This window comes from Homo sapiens, chromosome 5 (assembly GCF_000001405.40).
Source record: "Homo sapiens chromosome 5, GRCh38.p14 Primary Assembly".
NCBI classification, from domain to species: domain Eukaryota; kingdom Metazoa; phylum Chordata; class Mammalia; order Primates; family Hominidae; genus Homo; species Homo sapiens.
The window spans coordinates 180,260,638-180,282,459 of record NC_000005.10 but is presented as its reverse complement, the minus strand read 5'-3'; the positions used below and the strand labels follow the sequence as shown (position 1 = coordinate 180,282,459).

At 41.1% G+C, this 21,822-nt stretch overlaps 1 protein-coding gene across 15 annotated transcripts in view; it reads left to right on the top strand.

The window, feature by feature from the left end:
- The window catches only part of MAPK9 (mitogen-activated protein kinase 9), a 58,941-nt gene that overhangs the window by 9,624 nt on the left and 27,495 nt on the right, over positions 1-21,822 (top strand). For 11 of the 15 annotated variants that reach the window (NM_002752.5, NM_139070.3, NM_001364608.2 and 8 more), the window contains 4 exons: positions 1,852-2,020; positions 13,051-13,180; positions 17,621-17,679; positions 20,638-20,776. In NM_002752.5, coding sequence (NP_002743.3) covers positions 1,899-2,020; positions 13,051-13,180; positions 17,621-17,679; positions 20,638-20,776 — 450 coding nt within the window. In that variant the 5' untranslated portion in view covers positions 1,852-1,898. Of the gene's footprint in view, positions 1-1,851; positions 2,021-2,423; positions 2,665-4,598; positions 5,224-13,050; positions 13,181-17,620; positions 17,680-20,637; positions 20,777-21,822 lie in introns of those variants that run through there. The other 4 variants (NM_001364613.2, NM_001364611.2, NM_001364612.2 and 1 more) reach the window with 2 other exon arrangements.

The following is a 21,822-nucleotide window of genomic DNA, read 5'->3' as shown; positions in this document are numbered from 1 at the left end:
TTGTGCTTATGGCCCTTACCGCACTGTGACTTGTAATATAGATAATGGACTCACTGCTCGCGCTTCTCCCCCAAATAGTGAAGTACATGTTGTTTCAAGACTGGTTGCTAGCTGACTATGGCATATCTTTTGCTATACTTACCACTTTCGTGCATAAAGGTACCCCCTAAATGTTGAGTGGAATTGTTTCAGCCTCTTGCAAACTGTAAATAAGCTAATCTTTAGAAAGGATCTTCCTTTAGATATCAGTAAAATGGAGCAGCACTGTGGGGAATCAGATCAACAAAGGTTTATTGAATGCTCACAGTGCCCCAAAGACCAGCTTCCTGTCCTCCTGTCCTTGGAGTATGAGATGCCATGAGCAAGACAGACCTGCCTCGCACCTCCTATAGCTTAGAGCACAGTGACCTGCCAGCCTGGAGAGCTCCTGAGTCCCCTTCTCACAGCAGTGTGGGCTAGGCAGGTGTTCCAGCTCACTCAGCCCTAGATTGCTCCCAGGTAACACGGGACTGAGACTCCTGCGGTGCGGGTTGTATGAGCAGCTGTTTGTCCAGCATCTAAGCGCTGTGGCGTCACTGGAGTCACTCCCTGGCTGGCACGCTAACACACCTCGGCAGGAGTGGTCAGAGTGGCAGCCACACTGCAGCCACCACCCAGAGGACGGGGAGAAGACCGTGGGGCAGTGGTCACTTGGAGAAATTATTAATTTGACTCAGTTCTTTATTTAGACTTGTTATTAATCCATTTTTTCCATGTTTAAGGAAAATCCTAGCATTTGTGTTGAAATATAAATCATCACCACAAAAATCTCATTAGGTTGACGTTAAATATTAGATACTAGAACATAAAGGCAAGGGATTTGACAGAGCTGTAGAATACATTCTGTAGTCTTAAACGGTATAGAATGTTTACCTATATGATTTTATTGTTGGCTATGTAGTTTTAAAAGACCAAAATAAATAGCTTGCTGACTTTTAAATAAGCATAACCAGACACGAGCCTAGGAACCACTTGCCAATTTGTTTGCTTGTTTTCTGTATAAAATCATCCAGGCTCCTGCAGAGCAGCAGTCTCAGCCTGTGCCTCAACCACAGAAAAGCTGCTTTCTGGGCCTGCTGGCCTACACTCAGACATAGTGGATAGACTTCCTAGTGTTACTATGATGGACTGTCAGTCACAGCAGAGTTCTTCATATACAGATCTCTACCCTGAAGTCCGGTGGTGATGTGGGACTCTGGGGCTGTGCCAGCTGATGCCAGCTCTGGGACCCACCTCCTGAGGCAGGAGCACGTGCTTGGGCACATGCAGCACACTGATGCCACCAGGCCTCTGACAGCCTGTCACTTTGGCGTATGAATCTTGCTTTTTGGTTCATCATTTCAACCAGAATCTATACACTGAGCAGAAGACTGGTCCGTTTGCTTCTCTTTAGGCATTCTAGAAGTGATCATTTTTGAAACAATGCCTCCGTCTCTAGACAGCTAGGTGTAAATGAACCATTTACACCTAGCTTGCCCACAGGGGGCAAGCTGATGAGACGCACAGAGTGATGTAGTCTTTTCATAGCCAGTAGTAATGCATACATTCTTTTCTCCAAAGGTGGTTATTTTCTAGTCCAGCCCCTTAAAGTGTGGTCTTGCTGGGCCTCAAAATTCCTTCCTTTCATAATGGTCTGGTACCACTGAAATGTCTGCATTTTTTTGTGTCTTGCTTAAGTTCAGAACTTGGTCAGATTGACTTTATCAACTTACAGCCACATTGTCTTACATACCAATAAGTTCAGAACTCTCTTACGTGAGCTGCGTATGTACTTCCGGTAAGAATGCACGTTCATTCTGTTTTTCTTTGAAGGGATCTGAAACTTGCCCACCCTTCGGGATATTGCAGGACGCTGCATCATGAGCGACAGTAAATGTGACAGTCAGTTTTATAGTGTGCAAGTGGCAGACTCAACCTTCACTGTCCTAAAACGTTACCAGCAGCTGAAACCAATTGGCTCTGGGGCCCAAGGGATTGTTTGGTAAGTATGGTCTGTTTTAATAGCGTGGATTGAGTTTTTGCTGTAATAAAAAGTAAAACTAAAGTGTCAGGATTTAGAAACATTGATGATTAAAAAAAAAACTCTGTTATAGGTTTATGAGCTAAATTGAATCAACTGCTTGCTCTAGTTCTGTGTAGTCAGGCTGTAGGGTACAAACCCATATTCTTAGAATGCTGCAGGAATTTAAATAGGTAGCAAGTTTTCTTTTTTGTTTGTTTCTTTTTCCTTTCATTTTTTTTTTCATTTCTCCTGTCATTATGATATCAGAGTAGTAGGTATGACAGTGAGTTGTAACAGAAATTTGGAGTTTTATTCATTTCTTCATCATGGCCACCTTTTCCCCCCTCCCCTTTTATTCCCGATCACTCCTGTTCATTTCCAGGCGCCATCATTGCAGTGCCTTGCCATTCATTGGCAGGATGAGGCCAGTCAGTGTCATTGTCACTCCATGGATTAACCAGGAAGGGATGCTGTGTGAGGGGTTGGGCTGGCCATCTCTTCCTTGGTGTCTCACTTCAACTGTGTGTCCAGCCCAGAACGTCAGAATCGTTAGTCTGACCCTGAACGTTAGTCTCTTGCATGGTAAGACGGTCAGCCGCCGCAGCATCACGGGCCAGCTCAAGGTAAAGCTCTTCACATGTTTCCTAGACTGCAGCTATCAGCACTTCCCACACTTTTTACCCCTTATTTTTCTGGGCAGAACTTTTTTTTTTCTTTTTCTTTTTCTTTTTTTTTGGTCAATGAAAACAGGATTACCTTTGCGCCTAAAGAAACCGTGGTGCAGTTAAACATCGCGTGTTTACAGCTGGTAGGCAGAGGGGGTTGAGGGAGAAGAAAGCTCTTTTCGATGCTCTAGTAGGGTAGTTTACATTTCCTTGTAGAGATGTTGGGTTTGGAGAATCTTTAACGATGATTTTTAACTGATCCTTTGTTGCGGAGACCTATGATCAGGGAAACAGTTGTTTTTTTCAGCCCTGGCGGCTGAAGGCCCTGGGAGCTAAGAGGAAATTGCAGTCCAGAGCTTCTTTGAGAAGCTAAGGCGGGAAAGGGACTGTTTGGAAGGAATGCCCAGCTTGCATCTAAAGTAATGGTGATCTTAACTTCCTGATGACACATGCTGTATCGGCACTTAAATCCAGTGTGCCAGAAGAAGTGTTAAAGGTGGCCGGGCACGGTGGCTCACGCCTGTAATCCCAGCACTTTGGGAGGCCAAGCTGGGCAGATCACGAGGTCAAGAGATCGAGACCATCCTGGCCAACATGGTGAAACCCCGTCTTTGCTAAAAATACAGAAATTAGCCAGGTGTGGTGGCACACACCCGTAGTCCCAGCTACTCGGGAGGCTGAGGCAAGAGAATCGCTTGAACCTGGGAGATGGAGGTTGCAGTGAGCCAAGATCGCGCCACTGCACTCCAGCCTGGGCGATGGAGCAAGACTCCGTCTCAAAAAAAAAAAAAAAAAAGTTTTAAAGTTAGTGGAGGATGGTTCAAATTAGGAAACTTTGATGGTAATGGAAAGTTATAAACAACAAAGCATTCTTTTGGTTTATAACCCATCTCCTATTTGGAATTAGATGATAATTTGACAGATAATTTGATGTGTGCATGCGAGAGAGAGAGAGAAAAAGGAGAGAGGGGGCAAGAAGGGAGAAATGTCGGAGGTCTTGGGGAGTTGTTTGTGGCTATAGACAGGTAGCTGTTTTATTTATTTATTTATTTTTTTGAGACAGAGTCTCACTTTGTCACCAGGCTGGAGTGCAGTGGCGCGATCTCAGCTCACTGTAGCCTCCGCCTCCTGGGTTCAAGCAGTTCTCCTGCCTCAGCCTCCCGGTAGCTGGGACTACAGGCGCACGCCACCACACCCAGCTAATTTTTGTATTTTTAGTAGAGACAGGGTTTCCCCATGTTGGCCAGGATGGTCTCGATCTCTTGACCTCATGATCCACCCACCTTGGCCTCCCAAAGTGCTGGGATTACAGGCATGAGCCACTGCGCCCGGCCTACAGGTAGCTGTTTTAAATACGTGCTTCATTTATCCCAGCTGGCATGTCATTCACTTGCTTTTGAAGGTTGGTAGTAATGTGAATAGTGTATATTGTAGAATCACCATGAGCTCTGCCATAACCCTCACTGGTGGTGAATCGAAGGACTAGGAAGGCTCACTTGCTTCTCCCGTCTCACGGGGTGTTAGTGGTAGGCCTGGGACCAAAACAAGCTGTGGGCCTTTGGGACCTTATTGCCTGTACCACGGAGAGACTTGTTGAAGACTTTGAACCACTGATACTTTGATAGGTCAAGGCCTCTGACCCACCTTCTGTTTAGAATCTTAGTAATAATGAACAAATATTCACTAAACACCTATTAAACAATTTTCATTTAATTGTATTTATCTCTATAAGACAATTGTTACATTCAAGAACAGTTTCAATTTTTATAGCTATAACTGACTTTCAGTTTTATGGTATCCTTCTATCTTATGTTCTAATAGGGAAAGTAAACACTTTATAAGTGATTTTCGCTTCCTTTTCACCTTTCTCTTTTCTCTGTATCCTTCACCAGGCTATGAGGCACCAAGTAGAATTGGGAAATAATCTAGTTACGGCACATTCCCGTTTCAAAAAAGAAAAAAAAGCTTGCTTTTCCAAAAATAAGCTCAACAGTAGATTAGCTAACACTGACAAGAGGAATTGGATTTTCTATCATATTTCGTATTAAAATATTGGCATTATGTAGTTAATTGATGATCTGAAACTTCCTTTCATCACTATTGTACTTGAAAATCATCTGTCAGTGATTCTTTGGGGAGTGTAGCATGCAGAATAATGGTCCCGCCTGAGATGTCCACGTCCTAATCCCTGGAATTTGTATATTTCTTTACATGGCAAAAGGAATTTAGCCGGTGTGATTACATTAATGGTCTTGAGATGGGAGGGTTATCCCAGGTTTAGTTGGGTGGGTCCTTCTTACAAAAGGGAGACAGGAAGGTCATAGTCAGAGATGTGATGGCAGAGCGAAGTTTGGAGTGATGTGGGGCCACAGCCAAGCAATACAGGAAGCCTCCAACCAGCTGAGAGAGGCAGGGAGCAGACTCCCCCCAGAGCCTGCAGAAGGAGCCACGCAGCCCTGCTTACCTCTTGAGGCATAAGATGCATTTTGGACTTCTCACCTCCAGAACTGTAAGATAGTAAGTTTGTGTGGCTTTAAAGCAGTAAATTGGTGGTTACTTGTTACAATAGCAATAGGAAACTAATTCACAAGCATGTGTATTTCTACATTTTTGAGAAATATAACAGCAACAGTGTATGGTTTATGCAACTAGTTAATCTTCTATTTAAATTAGAGCTTTATGAAGGGCAGGTGTGCAGATAAACCAACGTGCAGGTAGGGCCTGTGACCTGTACAGGATTAAATGGAAGAGCTGGAGCCAGAAGAAAATATTCTGGTTCCTAATTTTGAATTGTTTTTATAGTTGTCTTTGATTTGTTTATTTGTTTTTGTTCCTTTAAATATGTTAGTAAAATTTATTAGGAAATAAGTTTTTAAATTTTAAAATATTTTATTTTATTTTTGAGACGGAGTCTTGCTCTGTCACCAGGTGGAGTGCAGTGGCGTGATCTTGGCTCACCGCAACCTCCGCCTCGCGGGTTCAAGTGATTCTCCTGCCTCAGCCTCCCGAGTAGCTGGGATTACAGGTGTGCGCCACCACGCCCAGCTAATTTTTTGTATTTTAGTAGAGATGGGGTTTCACCATGTTGGCCAGGATGGTCTCCATCTCTTGATCTCGTGATCTGCCCACCTTGGCCTCCCAAAGTGCTGGGATTGCAGGCATGAGCCACCGCGCCTGGCCTAAAATAAGTTTTAAAATATAATTTTGAAGTATTCATAAATATCAACTGTGTTATAGTACAATTAAATAATTGTAAGATTTTGAAGCTCTAGTGGAGAAAATGTATGTACATTTCTTTCATACATATATTCAGTTTTTCTTTCTCCTTCAAAAATCTCAAGTTTGGCCAAAATAGTAAAGATTATTTGCTTTACGAAACCATTCTATGAAATGCTTAACCTTTAAAAAAGTGTTCAATATTGAGTCTGGCGGTTCTTAGAAGTAACAGTTACAGCCTTAACATGAAATAATTGGTATAGCGTGTTCCTTTTTGTGTCCTCAAGTTCTGTATAAACATGAGTACTGGCCTGTTCTTAACATGGTTTATTTTCTATTAATATAAATAAATAAAAACATAACAATGTTCACAACAAAATTTCTGTGATAAAGGAGACATGGTTTGAGGCACAGGATGGCTGTGATTCAGAAGACTTGAGTTCTGAGTCCAGCTCTTTTCCTCAGCGAAGAGTTCTTTGTGAGCAGGGCAAATCAGTTTCTTTATGGGCCTCAATATTTTCACCTGTAAAATGAGTGGTTTGGAACTTCTCATTTAAGATGGTGGCCCGAACACCTGTACAAAGATAAGAGGGCAGTAATAAGTGGAAGACAGTTTTAACAAATTTATGAAATATAGAAAGTAGCTTGAATCTTGTGATACAGATAAAACAGCAGATAAAGTGAGAATAAGCAGCTGAAGTATGTGCGTAAGGAAGAGAACCTAGCTATAGTAAAACTACAGAGGCTGTGGGCATAGAGATGACAATGAAGAAGAGATGAAATGAGTGGCTAAAACTAGGGCTGTTAATTAAAAGTGTGCCTGTGAAACAGCTGTGCCAGTTTTCTGCCAACATTCCCACTGTCCCCCATGCTCAGCATTTTCCCCTAGAGAGCTAGTAAGTTAGTGAGGAGTTACTAGGTCAGGATCTGGGGAAGCACAGAAGCCTAGTGAGGGGAGCTTCAGCATGTGGGGCTGTCTTTCCCTTGGGGGCATTTGAAAATTCTGGAAGGGGCTGTTGAGAGAGTGTTTTGGACTGCCCTGTGGCTAGGAGACAGGGATGAGAGTCCAGGGCCCTCTAATATTGTGTGGCAAACTTCTTTTACTTGTGTTGGGACCAATAAAAGGCTGCTTCCTAGAAGTAAAGGTAACTCAGAGATTGGCCCTTATAGGCACTGCCACTCAGCTTCAGATTATCATCTCATTTGCTGAACTTGTATGGGGGTAAACAAAAATTGCTAGTGCCCCCAGGTACCTAGTAGAAATAAATTTAAATTCTTTGTGGAAGAAGACAGCATCATATTAGATAAAATTATTTCTAGATAGCAAACAGTTTTATACGTGCAAGGCCCAGTCTAGGCACACAAGGAGATATGACAACATGAATAAAATCCTGCAGAAACAGCAGACAAAAGAAACAGATCCATAGGAGATATTGGCATTATTAGATCCACATTTTTAAATAGCTATGATATTACGTTCAAGGTGATAAAGGCAAGATTAAAAGTTTTGGTGGAGAAATGAAAACTTCTTTTAAGAGGAATAAATCAAAATTCTAGAAGTAAAAACTATAGTAATTGAATTATGAATTTAATATGTGTAACAGCATGCTAGATATAACTGAAGAGAGATTTAGTGACCTGGAGGAGAGGTCAGCAAAAAGTATCCAGAATGAAAGCTGCAGAGGCAAAAATGGTAGAAGAGCCCAAAACAGAGAAGGTGTTAGTTTTCTATTGCTGCATAACACATTAACACAAACTTAGTTGTTTAAAACAACACCTATTGATTATCTCATAGTTCTATAGTCAGAAACCTGGGTGGGTTTGCCTGGGTTCTTTGCCCAGCATCTCACAAAGCTGAAGTCAAGATTTCGACTGGGCTGGGCTCAGCTCACAGATGGAGGTTCTGGAAGGGTATCTGCTTCCAAGCTCCTTCAGCCTGTTGGCAGAGTCTAGTTCCTTACAGCTTTAGGTCTGTGGTTCCCAATCTCTTGATCTCTTTCAGTCAGGCGCTGCTGTCTGCTCCCAGAGGCTGCATGTTTTCCTTCTCAAGTGACCTCCTCCATCTTCAAGGCAGCAGTGGCATGCCCAGTCCTTCCCATACTCACATCTCCCTGATTTTCCACCCTTTCCATGAGCCAGAGCAAACTCTGCCTTTAAAGGGCTCTCGTGATAAGAATAGGCCCACCTGGATAATCTGCGTTTTGTTAAATTAATGAGTACGTTTAGCCCTTTTGCAAGATGCAGGGTCAGTATATGTACCCCTCCCCCTGCAAAATTGCATATTTATATACTAGCAGCATATAGAAAATGAAAATTTGAAAAGGATACCACTTAAAATAGGATAAAAACTTTTAAATTATCATATCTGGAGGAAAAATCTAACAATATGAAAGACTTGTATACAAAAAGCTAAAAAAATTAGAAAAAATAGAGAAAACTGAAATCGTGGTGGGATGTCTGATTTTCAGAGTTAGAATATTTAATACCATGAAGGTCATTTTTCAGACTTGTCTAGAGTGATTGCAATCAAATCTCAGTCGTCTTAAAAAACAAAGAAATGAACAAACTGATTTTAAAATTTATATGTAAAAATAAAAACCCTAGAATGGTCAAGACACCCATTAAGAAGGGAGGAACACTCCCTCTGCGAGATGTGAAGACTTACCATAAAACTGGTGATCAAGCTGGTGTCGTGTGGTGCAAGGAGAAACAGTGGACTAGCCCTGAAACAGAGTCATGCATGTGTGGGCTTCTGACTTATGGCAGTGGTGGCCTGTGGAGCAATGAGGAAAGGCTAGCCTTTTAAATAAATGGACATAGGAATGTTCATGTAGAAAAAAGTGAAATTTGACCCCAACCTCATATTATACACAAAAGTGAATGTCAGTTGAATTGCTGTAAATATATAAGGCAAGCCAGTAAAGCTATTTGAACATAATATAGGAGAATGTCTTCATGATCTTTGGGGTAGGGAAGGACTCCTTTAAACACAACATAAAAAAACATTTATCTGCTGGATGTGGTGGCTCATGCCTATAATTCCAGCACTTTGGGAGGCCAAGGTGGGAGGATCGCTTGAGGCCAGGAGTTCAAGACCAGCCTGGCCAACATAATGAGACTCCCCCCATCTCCACTTTAAGAAAAAAAAAAATTATCATAGAAGATTGATCAATTTTGTATTAAAATTAAGAAATGTTGTTTATTTTAAAAAACCAAGATCAAGAAACTGAAAAGATAAGCATAGATGTGAGAAGATATATGACTGAAAAAAAATCTCTTGTTCAGAATATGTAAAGAACAACAGTCAAGAAGATTATAAAGATAGACAAACAAATAGTCAATAGGTTGTCACAGGAGGATACCCAAATAACCTATAAACAGGAAAAGTGCTCAATGCCGTTATTCATCAAGATAGTGCAATTTAAAACTGCGACGAAATACCATTCCACACTCAGCAGAATGGTTAGAAACTAAGCTGTTGGTGATACCAAGTGCTGGTGAGGATGTGGAACCACCCAGAGGCAGCTCTCAGATGTGACCCCTCGTGTACTGGAACCACGCAGAGGCAGCTCTCAGATGTGACCCCTCGTGCACTGCTGGCAGCTGTACAAATTTGTAGAAACGCTCTGGCAAAGAGTTTGACATTATCTACTGAAATACAATGGATACGTTCCCACTCTTAGTTGTCTACTCATCAGAAACACATGCATAGGGGATCCGGAGCTGCGTACAGGAATGGTGATGACTGTGTGTTCTGTAATAGATTGAAAACTAAAAACAACTGAAATATCTATCAACGTAATGTGATATAGTTATACAAAGGAATCTTATAGCAATGATGGAAGGAGTTATAGCTACATACAGCAACAATGGATGAGTCCCATAATATTGAGCCACAGAAGTCAGACACAGAAGATTTCAAAAAACAGGCAAAAATAAACTGGGAGCTCCAGGGTGCATGCTTTAGCTGGTAAAGCAAGAAAGTGATTATTGTACATGTCAAAGCAGTTATCACTGGTGGACAGGAGGGACACTAATTAGTTGGGGGTGTGAGAAGCTTTTGGGATACAGAGAGAACATGACTGATAAATCATTGAGCTGGGAAACAAAAAAAGAAGCAAAGGAATCAGTACAGTATCGGGCATAAGCCTCCTCACTGTCAGCACTCAGTGTGGAAATCAGTGGAAAAGTGCCTTCAAAGTTCTCACAGAAAATTGATTTTAAACTCAGAAAACTTATTATCAATCAAGGGTGGGGGCAGAGCAATACCATCTATCTTCCATGCACCTTTTCTGAGGAAATTCCTTGAGGATGTACTCCAGCAAGAGAGGCAACACAAGAGCGTAATGCAAGAAGCAGTGGGGACTGTGAAAAGAAATCCCAGGATGGTGGCTGCATGGCAGGTCTTAAGGAAGCTGCAAGAAGAGTGTCTGCAAATCATGTGGAGGAGATGCCAGACAACAATAATGTAAGAAGCTAGGAAGTGCCAGTGATAGGCTAAAGAGTGTCTGCAAATCATGTGGAGTAGGTGCCACACAACAGATAATGTGAGAAGCTAAGATGTGTCAATGATAGGCTAAAACTGGCATTTTTTATTAGTAAAAACTAATAATAATCTAGAATGTAATAAAATCTATTATTTATTAGAAATGTGTGGGGAAAACTAGAAAAAATCATGGTCTAATTATGAAACAAAGAGGACATGATGTTTGAGCAGTTGATGAAATATAAGAGAATCCTTTGTCCTTGATCCTGGAAATAGTCTCACCCTCTTATGAGTGGCAGCAAGAGCCATGTGATCTTTAGAAAATGAAATGTAATCCCAACTCTGGCCGTTAGTGATATTTACATTGTACACATACACACCTACACTCCATGTATTGATTTTCAACTTCTAGAAACATCCTAAAGAAGAAATACAGAAGACTTAGTTATGAATATATGGTAAATGGAGGAGAAAGGGATGGAACAGTCTCATTTTACGTAAGCAGAAGTCAAGACGTTCCCTTCAGAGTTGAAGAAGCGTGAAGATTAGGGGTGTTACTTAAAGACGTAACCAGGGAAAACCCAAAAAGCAGAACAACAAAAAAAATAGGAGGTGTTGGCGATTGGGGATTTCAAGGAAGTGGCCAAATACTCAGTTTTCGTAATGGGGAGTAGGTGAATCATTTCTAAAGCTGATAAATGAAGAGATAGTGATAACAATGTATTCTTTGAGTGACCGCAATAACCACAACCAGGAATAACTGAAGGTAGTTCCTCATGGAGCTGAGCTACAAGTGGGGAAGCTTATGCCCACTTAGATGCTTAGACTTGGTCCATTTGCCTTGTTTTAGCCAAAAACTTTTTTAAAATGACAAATAAAAATTGTATATATTTATCATGTCCAGCATATTGTTCTGAAATATGTATACATTATGGACTAGCTAAATTGAGCGAATTAACATATGCATTACCTCACATACTTTTTAAAAGTTTCTGATGAGAACAAATCTACTCTCATCAATTTTCAAGAATACAATACATTGTTATTAACTGCAGTCACCATATCTCACAGTAGACCTCCTGACCTTATTCCTCCTATCTAACTGAAATTTTGGACAAAAACTTTTGATACCAAAAAAGTGTGTCTGTTTTCAAATTCTTTTTTTCTTTTTCTTTTTCTTTTTTTTTTTTTTTGAGACCCTGGGCAACAGGGTCTCAGTCTGTCACCCAGGCTGGGGTGCAGTGGAGGGATCAGTGCTCACTGCAGTCTCGACCCCCGGCTCAAGCAGTCCTCCCACCTCAGTCCCCTGAGTAACTGGGTCTACAGACATGCACCACCACACTCAGCTAATCTTTGTATTTTTTGTACAGACAAGGTTTCACTGTATTGCCCAGGCTGGTCTCAAACTCCTGGGCTCAAGCGATCTGCCTGCCTTGGCCTCCCAAAGTGCTGGGAATACAGGCATAAGCCACCACACCTGGCCTATTTTCAAATTCTTGAGTCTGAGAAGTATATAGGTATAAATACATACATGGCTACATGTATGTCAATGACTTGTTTCACAAGTGGATATATCCTTCTCATTTTATAATTCATATAAATGGTGCAATTTGCATATGAACCTGTGGATTTACATATGTATATAGACAGACACATAATATGAACTGAATTAAAGTAAGGTAGCTTCTTAACCAAATGCTACAACAGATAGCCTTCAACTTTAAAACAGATTGAATTAGGTTCGAGTTTGGCAAAAGCATTAATAGAAGAGAATAAATGTAAACAATGTTATAAACTCAATGGAATAAAGAAATAGAAACAGTATTTAAATCAGTGCTTAGGTTCTCAGGTGGCCTTTAGTAGCTGTTAGCCCTCATGAGTAGCCCAGAGGTGATAATACAAATGATACTATTTAGTACCAGTTTGAAACCTAAAAATGTGTAATCAGGCTACTTGATTCTTCATGTCTATTTTCTGGAGGAAAATGAACAGAATTTCAACAGGAAACGAGATGCTGGAAACACAGCCTGTAGATTTTATTCTTACTATAGTAGTAGGAGGAGATAGTTCTAAAAGAACTTTATATAGCAGTTGCTTACGTTAGAGATTTTGTATCTTGAACATTTACCATGAGCTGAAATTTTGGCTTCTTTTCTTTTTAGATACTGTTATTTGTGAAAAAAACACAGTGATTCAAAATTTAGATTTATTCTCCTCATGAATTCAGCCATTTCCTCTACTGTGATATTCCAAAATATACACATTTTAAGACAGGAAACAGTGACTTTGTTTCCAACTTCTTGTCATGTTTAAACTGAAGATTTCATTTCTTGACTGGTTTTATGCACTCTATATTAAATTACCTGGTTTTGAATGTAATCTAAACTATGAAACCTTGGTGTGTGAAGGATTGCTGAACCCCATCTTAACTGTGGCTGAAATGTGCCTCTGCAAAGGAGTTAGTACATGCTGTAGTCTTAGACAACTCACTCTGCTCTTCATATGTGCAAGTACCTTGAATGAAATAAGCAGATTTTTCCTTGTTACTTATTAAAAAGATGATATATTCAATGTATATTCTGGCATTGCTGTATTTTCCAAAACCGTTCTAATGGATTGTGCATTATATTTCCTAATTCTAGTGCTGCATTTGATACAGTTCTTGGGATAAATGTTGCAGTCAAGAAACTAAGCCGTCCTTTTCAGAACCAAACTCATGCAAAGAGAGCTTATCGTGAACTTGTCCTCTTAAAATGTGTCAATCATAAAAATGTAAGTTATGTATGTATTTTGTCTGTGTGCTTCCATATTGTCAATAATGTGGTAATCTTCAGGGTTTTCTGGAGATACATTGAGTTCAGACCTAGGATAAGCTAAGGATAAAAATGGCTATTAACATTGGTTTTTTGTTTTTTGTTTTTTTGTTTTTTTGTCGCCCAGGCTGGAATGCAGTGGCGCAGTCTCGGCTCTCTGCAAGCTCCACCTCCCGGGTTCATGCCATTCTCTTACCTCAGCCTCCCAAGTAGCTGGGACTACAGGCGCCTGCCACCACGCCCGGCTAATTTTTTGTATTTTTAGTAGAGATGGGGTTTCACCATGTTAGTCAGGATGGTCTTGATCTCCTGGCCCCATGATCCACCTGCCTTGGCCTTCCAAAGTGCTGGGATTACAGGCGTGAGCCACCATGCCCGGCCTATTTTTTATTGATAACATTCTTTTTTTTTGGAGACGGAGTCTCGCTCTGTCGCCCAGGCTGGAGTGCAGTGGTGGGATCTTGGCTCGCTGCAAGCTCCACCTCCCGGGTTCATGCCATTTTCCTGCCTCAGCCTCCTGAGTAGCTGGGACTACAGGCGCCCGCCACCACGCCCGGCTAATTTTTTGTATTTTTAGGAGAGACAGGGTTTCACCGCGTTAGCCGGGATGGTCTCGATCTCCTGACCTCATGGTCCGCCAGCCTCAGCCTCCCAAAGTGCTGGGATTACAGGCGTGAGCCATGGCGCCCGGCTGATAAAATTCTTAATAAACATTGAGGAAATCAAAGCTAGAAAGAGGCATCATTATGGTGCATAGGAATTTAGGTCACTTAACCAAAGTAGGAATATCAATTGATACTCTGTTTCTATAAAATAGGAACAGTATTGATCTAACAAATTGAGAAACAACTAAATATTTTGTGGAAAGATGTTGTTCTATAAGTAGGTTTTTACCTTGTATATGACACACCAGTTTCAAATACACGTTATTAGATGATGTTACATTTAGAGTAGCTATTCTTGGAAGCTCCACAGAAATCAAAGCACTAAATTTTACGGAGAAATAATGTTTCTAGAAAATGAAGTTGGGTTCAATCAAGCACATTGTTTGTTCTCCTAGTGGTCGCTGAGCATTATGTTGATAACGTTGCCATGTTATAAAATTACAAAATGTTGGCCGGGTGCAGTGGCTCACGCCTGTAATCCCAGCACTTTAGGAGGCCGAGGCGGGTGGATCATGACGTCAGGAGATAGAGACCATCCTGGCTAACATGGTGAAACCCCATCTCTACTAAAAAGTACAAAAAATTAAGGAGGGTGAGGTGGGAGAATGGCATGAACCCGGGAGGCAGAGCTTGCAGTGAGCTGAGATAGCACCACTGCACTCCAGCCTGGGCGACAGAGCGAGACTCCGTCTCAAAATAAATAAATAAATAAATAAATAAAATATAAAACGTGAAATCTGGTTTTTTTTGTTTTGTTTTTTTGAGACAGGGTCTCATTCTGTCACCCAGGTTGTGATTCTCCCACCTCAGCCCTCCAAGTAGCTGGGACCATAGGCGTGCGCCACCATGCTTGGCAGTTTTTAAAATTGTTTGTAGAGGTGGGGTCTTACCACCTTGTCTAGGCTGATCTTAAACTCCTGAGCTTCCTTCTTTTGAGTCTGTGGCTTGAGTTGGTTTAAATTTCTCTAATGCATGCTTTATTTTACTTTTTCTTTTTTTTTTTTTTTTTTTTGAGACGGAGTCTCGCTCTGTCGCCCAACCTGGAGGGCAGTGGCGCGATCTCAGCTCACTGCAAGCTCCGCCTCCCAGGTTCACGCCATTCTCCTGCCTCAGCCTCCCGAGTAGCCGGGACTACAGGTGCCCGCCACCACACCCAGCTAATTTTTTGTATTTTTAGTAGAGACAGGGGTTTCACCATGTTAGCCAGGATGGTCTCGATCTCCTGACCTCGTGATCTGCCTGCCTCGGCGTCCCAAAGTGCTGGGATTACAGGCGTGAGCCACCGCACCCGGACTTGTTTTACTTACTTATTTAAAAAATTTTTTCAGGTTACAAAAAATATATATTATTTTTAAAAATTCAAACAATATAAAAAAGTAAAAACTCCTGAATACCGCCACCCACAGATTACTAGCATTAACAGTTTGGTGAGCATTCTTATGCATACATGTGCACAAGTACATAAACAAGATTAATCGTGTTATTCTTCATCCTGCTTTTCTCCTCGTGCAATGTTGGTAGACCTCATATACTTTAATGAACATAGATATGAGCCAGTTTTTAAATGGTTGCATAGCACAGATGCACAGTAATTTATTTAAGAGACTGCCAGCCGCCTGTTGTTGGATAGATTGTTTTGTTTCTCACTGTTATAAGCAGTGCTGCAATGAACATTCTAACGCCTGAATTTTTGCATACTCGTCCAGGTGAATTTCTTGGCCAACATTGTCAGGTCAGAGTACACACACTTCTAGTTTAAAATATACTGACAAATTGACCTCAAGGAAGACTATTAGTTTGATATTTTCATTAAGAGTATTTGAGAAGCTGGGCACGGTCACTTCACCTGTAATCCCAGCTACTTGGGCTGAGGCAGGAGGGTCGCTTGAAGCCAGGAGTTTAAGGCACACCTGGGCAACAAAACAAGACCCCATCTCCTAAAAAAAAAAAAGTATCAGCCGGGCGCTGTGGCTCACACCTGTAATCCCAACACTTTGGGAGGCCAAGGCAGGTGGATCACCTGAGTCATGAGTTTAAGACCACGTTGGTTGGCCAGCGTGGTGAAACCCCGTCTCTACTAAAAATACAAAAATTAGCTGGGCGTAGTGGTGGGCGCCTGTAATCCCAGCTCATTGGGAGGCTGAGGCAGGAGAATCACTTGAACCCAGGAAGCATAGGTTGCAGTAAGCCAAGATTGCGCCATTGCACTCCAGCCTGGGGGACAAGAATGAAACTCCATCTCAAAAAAAAAAAAAAAGTGTCTGAGAACGTCTGTTACTTCAGAATCCCCCAGCACTACATACTGTTGATTTTTTTTGTTTTGCTTTTGCCAATTTGATAAATAAATGATATTTTATTTTTATTGGTGAGGTTGTTACTTATTTTTATGTGTTTTGGTAATTTAATTTTTATGGCCTTTATCCATTTTTCTTTTGGACTGCTGGTCTCTTCTGCATTTGTAGGAGGGTTTTTTTTTTAAATATTAAAACTATTGCCCTTTACTTTTTTTTTTCCATTTGACATTATTTATGTTGTTGACATACTGATTTTTTATCACCCATTTTTTGTTTCATTTTAATGTAATCAGATCTCTTAGGTTTCCTGTCATGTTTAGAAAAGATTTTCTACGCTAGGATTATATAAATGTTTATCTATATTCTGAGGTTTTATTTCATGTTTTAGATTTAAGTCTTTGTTCCATTTAGAGTTTTTCTTGGTATAAAGATTGAAATATGGATGCAGTTTTATTTTTGTCCTTAGCTAACCAATCACCCCAATCCTGTATAATGGATAATTCATCTTTCCCTCAGTCATCTGGAATGACTGAGGTTATGTGTTTGGTGCCTAAGCCGTGGGACTCGCTGTTTACACCATGGGCTGTGTACTGGTTCGTTCCCGCACTGCCATAAAGAGATACCCAAGACAGTGTAACTTATAAAGGAAAGCGGTTTAAATAACTCATAGTTGCGCATGATGTGGGAGACCTCAGGAAACTTGCAATCATGGCGGAAGACGAAAGGGAGGCAGGCACCTTCTTCACAAGGCGGCAGGAGAGAGAAAAGTAAAGAGCAAAGTGGGCAGTGCTCCTTAGAAAACCATCAGGTCTCCTGAGAACTCACTCACTGTCACAAGAACAGCACGGGGGAAACCGCCCCCATGATCCAGTCACCTCCCACCAGGTCTCTCCCTAGACACGTGGGGATTATGGGGATTACAATTCAAGATGAGATTTGGGTGGGGACACAGCCAAATCATGTCAGGGTGCCAGGATGGAGGCCTGCCGCAGGATCAGCTCTTTAACCCTCTTTAGGTAAAAATATGATGCTACGAGGCCTTTCACTTTATCACACCAAAAACAAGAGCTTAGCCTTCATATTTCAAACCTTTTTAGAAATTTGTGCGTAGTATTTAAGTTTTCAGAGTTAACATACTGCTTTAATGTCTTTTTACCTGTAAATTCTACTTTTTTATGTTCAAAAAGACATTATGTGTTTAAATTCTGTAATAATTAAGTTACTAGGGACACATAAAAGTGATTTGATTAAAAGTGCATCTTTCCTTTAATTGATGTTTAACTTTTCTCAAATGCCATGTAATTGGTAAAAGCAGTAATAATAAGAAGTACTGAATTCTGCTGTGATTTTTTTCCCGTCTTAATGCATTTCAATATTAAACTTAATTTTTGTAATCAAGTAATCTGACATATTGAAGTATAATTAATTTTCTCTTTTCAGATAATTAGTTTGTTAAATGTGTTTACACCACAAAAAACTCTAGAAGAATTTCAAGATGTGTAAGTATCATTTTTATTCAGTAATGCACTGTACATCAAAGAATGAACATCTAGAAAAGACAGCAACTGCTTTTTATACTTAGGAAATGTAGGTGGCAATACATTTTGTGACATCACAGATAACTTTCTCTGTTGCAGAGAAATATTTAGAAAATTTGATAGTTATATTTAATTATTTGTACCACATGGGTTTTCATCTTCATAACAGATAAAGGATGACTGGAAAGAATTCTTCAGAGCAGACCAGGATCACTAATGTGTTTTGCTGAACTATAAAATGTTTTTCTCAAATCCCTGATAGCCAGGATTTTAGGGTTCAGGAGTTTATGAGTATTACTTAAAATGATTAAGTCACTAATTCTATTTAAGATTCTGTATTTCCAGAATCTTAAGTAGAATCATCTTACTAACAGTGAAATGAAGTATTAATCTATTGAGAGGCATAATGCCCAACTTCATCCTGAATTTATTGGTGTGTTCAGTCATTAACAAATATCTGATTGCCCTCTGTGTGCTGGGCACTCTCTGGGACTTGGCCTACCTGGCTTCCCTGGAGCCTGTCAGGGAAGATAGACAAGCCACATGATAAATGAGGAAAGCATGTAGTCCATTAGAATGTGCTAGGTGCTGTGGACAAAGGGTGGAGCTGGGTCAGGGGATCAAAAGTGCTGAGGGTTGGACTTGAGGCTGCAGTTTTAAATAAGGTGGCTGGGGAAAGACCTCCATGAGTTGGTGACATTCGAAGAAAGCCTTGAAGGGGATAAAGAAGTTGGTCTGGCCGGGTGCGGTGGCTCACGCCTATAATCCCAGCACTTTGGGAGGCCGAGGCGGGCGGATCACGAGGTCAGGAGATCGAGACCATCCTGGCTAACACGGTGAAACCCCGTCTCTACTAAAAATACAAAAAATCAGCCGGGCGTGGTGGCGGGGGCCTGTAGTCCCAGCTACTCAGGAGGCTGAGGCAGGAGAATGGTGTGAACCCGGGAGGTGGAGCTTGCAGTGAGCCAAGATCGCACCACTGCACTCCAGCCAGGGCGACAGAGCAAGACTCTGTCTCAAAAAAAAAAAAAAAAAGAATTTGGTGCCGCAGATACTTTGGGGGCAAGTAGAATGGAGATAGAAGGAACAGACAGCGCTCAGGACAGCAGTGGATGCCCGCCTGGTGTTTTCCAAGACCATCAAGAGGTGGCGTGGCTAGAGATGAGGGAGCAGGGGAAGAGAAGAGGGTGAACACCACAAGCCTCTAGGCCGTTGTAAGGATGTCTTTTGCTCTAAGGCAAGTCAGAGTAAGAGTCTTAGCAGAGCAGTGAGCTCACCTGCCTTCTGTTTGAAAAGCGTAACTCTGGCATCTGGGTTGGTAACCCACTATAAGGGGTGGGGGCATGGAACATCAGTTACTGCTGTTGCAGCAGTTCTGTTAAGGGATGACGGAGGGTCCATTTGGCCCAGAGGGGTAATAGGAAGGGTGAGAGGGGAAGAGACTGGATGCTGAAATGGTTCTAAAGATAGAGCCATGGTATTAGCTGATAGATGAGATGTGTGGTATGAGAGAGAGGAATTGAGAATGACACCTAGATTTTTGGCCTGAGCACCTGAAGGATGAGGGAGCTCTCAACTGAGATGATGAAGGCTGTGAGAAGAGCAGACTGGGCTAGGGATGGAATCAGGAGTTCAGTTCTGGAGATGGCTTTAAGATGCCTGTTAGACATCAAGGTGGAACTGGGAATAGGGAGGCAGAGGAATGAGCCTGGAGTTCAGGAGATATGTCTGAATTGAACGTAGGAATTTGGGAGCTGATGGCCTGTAACTGAGATCACTAAGAAAGTGAGTGTGGTTACAGAAGAGAAGAGGGTCAAGGACCAGTTGCTGGGTATTTTGACAGCGAGAAGTTAGAGACAGGACAGGGCAGGGCCCGCTGGGATTATAGGACTGGCCAGTGGATTTAGCAGCATGGAAGACATCAGTGGCCTCGAGGAGGACAGTTTCAGCAGAATGGTGGCTGCACAAACCTGATCCAAGTGGGATTAAGAAAAAAATGGGAGAAGGCTGAGTGCAGTGGCTCATGCCTGTAATCCCAACACTTTGGAAGGCCCGAGGTGGGCGGATCACTTGAGGTCAGGAGTTCGAGACCAGCCTGGGCAACATGGCAAAACCCCGTCTCTACTAAAAATACAAAAACTATCCAGGCATGATGGCTGTTTTTTTTTTTTAATTTAATTTTCAGTTCTGGGAGTCCGAGGCATGAGAATGGCTTGAACCCGGGAGGTGGAGGTTGCAGTGAGGCGAGATCACGCCACTGCACTCCAGTCTGGGTGACAGAGTGAGACCCTGTCTCAAAAAAATTTAAAAAATAAAAAGAAGGGAGAAGAATTGGAGATAGCACATGAGACACCTCTTTGGGGAGTTTTGCTTGCAAAGGGAGCAAAGAATCGGGGCGTTGCTAAGCGGGGAGTGGGGTCAAGTGTCCTTTTTGTTGTTGTTGTATAATCACTTTTAAAAACGTATATATTGTAGAGCAATTTAGAGCCACAGCAAAATTGAGCGGGAGGTACTGAGTTCCTGTCTGTCTCCAGCCCCTTACGTGCAGAGCCTCCCCCGTTCTCAGCATCTCCCACCAGAGGGTACATGTGTTGTGATTGATGAGCCTGTAACAGCATGGTCTTTAGGCTGGTACGGAGAATTTCAGCCAAAAATGTAAGAAGTAGGAAAATTTGTGTTTGAGATTCTATTTACCATGCTATAAAAGGTTGTTGTTTTTTTTTTTAATTTTTAACTTGTAAGACGTTAAGTTTGTTATTTATATATTCTTTGGAAAATTTTTAGAAAGTTCCATTATACCAAGTTATCTTTTTACTTTAGCCAGTGCAGTGATTGGAAGTAAGTTACAGTTTCATGAAATTTAGTCATAAAGGAACTTTGGATAATTTTCAAATAAATAACTGACCTTTTCTCCCTCAGGTATTTGGTTATGGAATTAATGGATGCTAACTTATGTCAGGTTATTCACATGGAGCTGGATCATGAAAGAATGTCCTACCTTCTTTACCAGATGCTTTGTGGTATTAAACATCTGCATTCAGCTGGTATAATTCATAGAGTAAGTGGTGATGTATTAATTTTATTTTTAAAAACAATCATTTGGTTGTCATAATCCTTTACATACAAAATAACATTTAAAAAAAATTGTTAGGCTTGAAAATCCAAATAGATGATGGAATCATATGGTGTTTTAAGAGAGTCATTCTAGGAGGCATCTGTGGAGCCGCCTGGCCTGCCAGGCTAGACCAGCTGCTGTGGACACAGCCAGGTACTGCGCTCTCAGTCAGATACTGCGCAAGAATACATTGTTTTAAACTTTTCATTTTAAAGTAACTTAAAACTTAGAGAAAAATTTCAAGAATAGGACAGAGAACTTCCAACTACCATTTATCTACATTCACCTGTTTTTAATATATTTGCCATATGTGAAATCCCATTTTTAATGAGCAAGGAACTTAAAGGCCAAGTAGTCAGTGAGACAGCTGCTTGAGAACTCTCTTTCTTAAATAATGACCCACATATCCATTTCTCTTATCCTAAAATTCTGCCGTGCCAGCTTCCCTGCATCACTGGTGGGAGTGGCCAGACCCTGCACCGCAAGGGTTCAGAGCAGGCCTGTGGGCTCAGCAGAGGCCGGGATTTGAATAACAGTGTGACTGTACTGTCAGGAAAAACATTTAATAAGCTAGGGAGCGATAATATAATTAATATAATTCTCTCTAAGCTGATTTTACAATTTTTTGTTATTATTACTTGTACGGCTGTGTAAGCAGACTATCATGATAGATTTTTTTTTTTCACAATTTGATACCAATACTTCAGTAGCAAAGAAAATGAAATAAACTTCTTCCTGCCAAAAAACAGTACATTTTTCATAAAAAAGAAAGATGGAATTGATGTAATAGGTGAAGAACAATTAAAACTTGTCAAATAAGGCCAGTAAGAAAACCCCAACAGTTAACAAAATCTGTTTTCAATGACATATTACAGAACAATTAAAAAGCTACATAAAAATCAGTGTTACCTACTTATTAGAAATACATTTTAATTCACCTGTAGATCCAAAAACATTTAGACATACAGACAAAATTTTGTATTAACTGA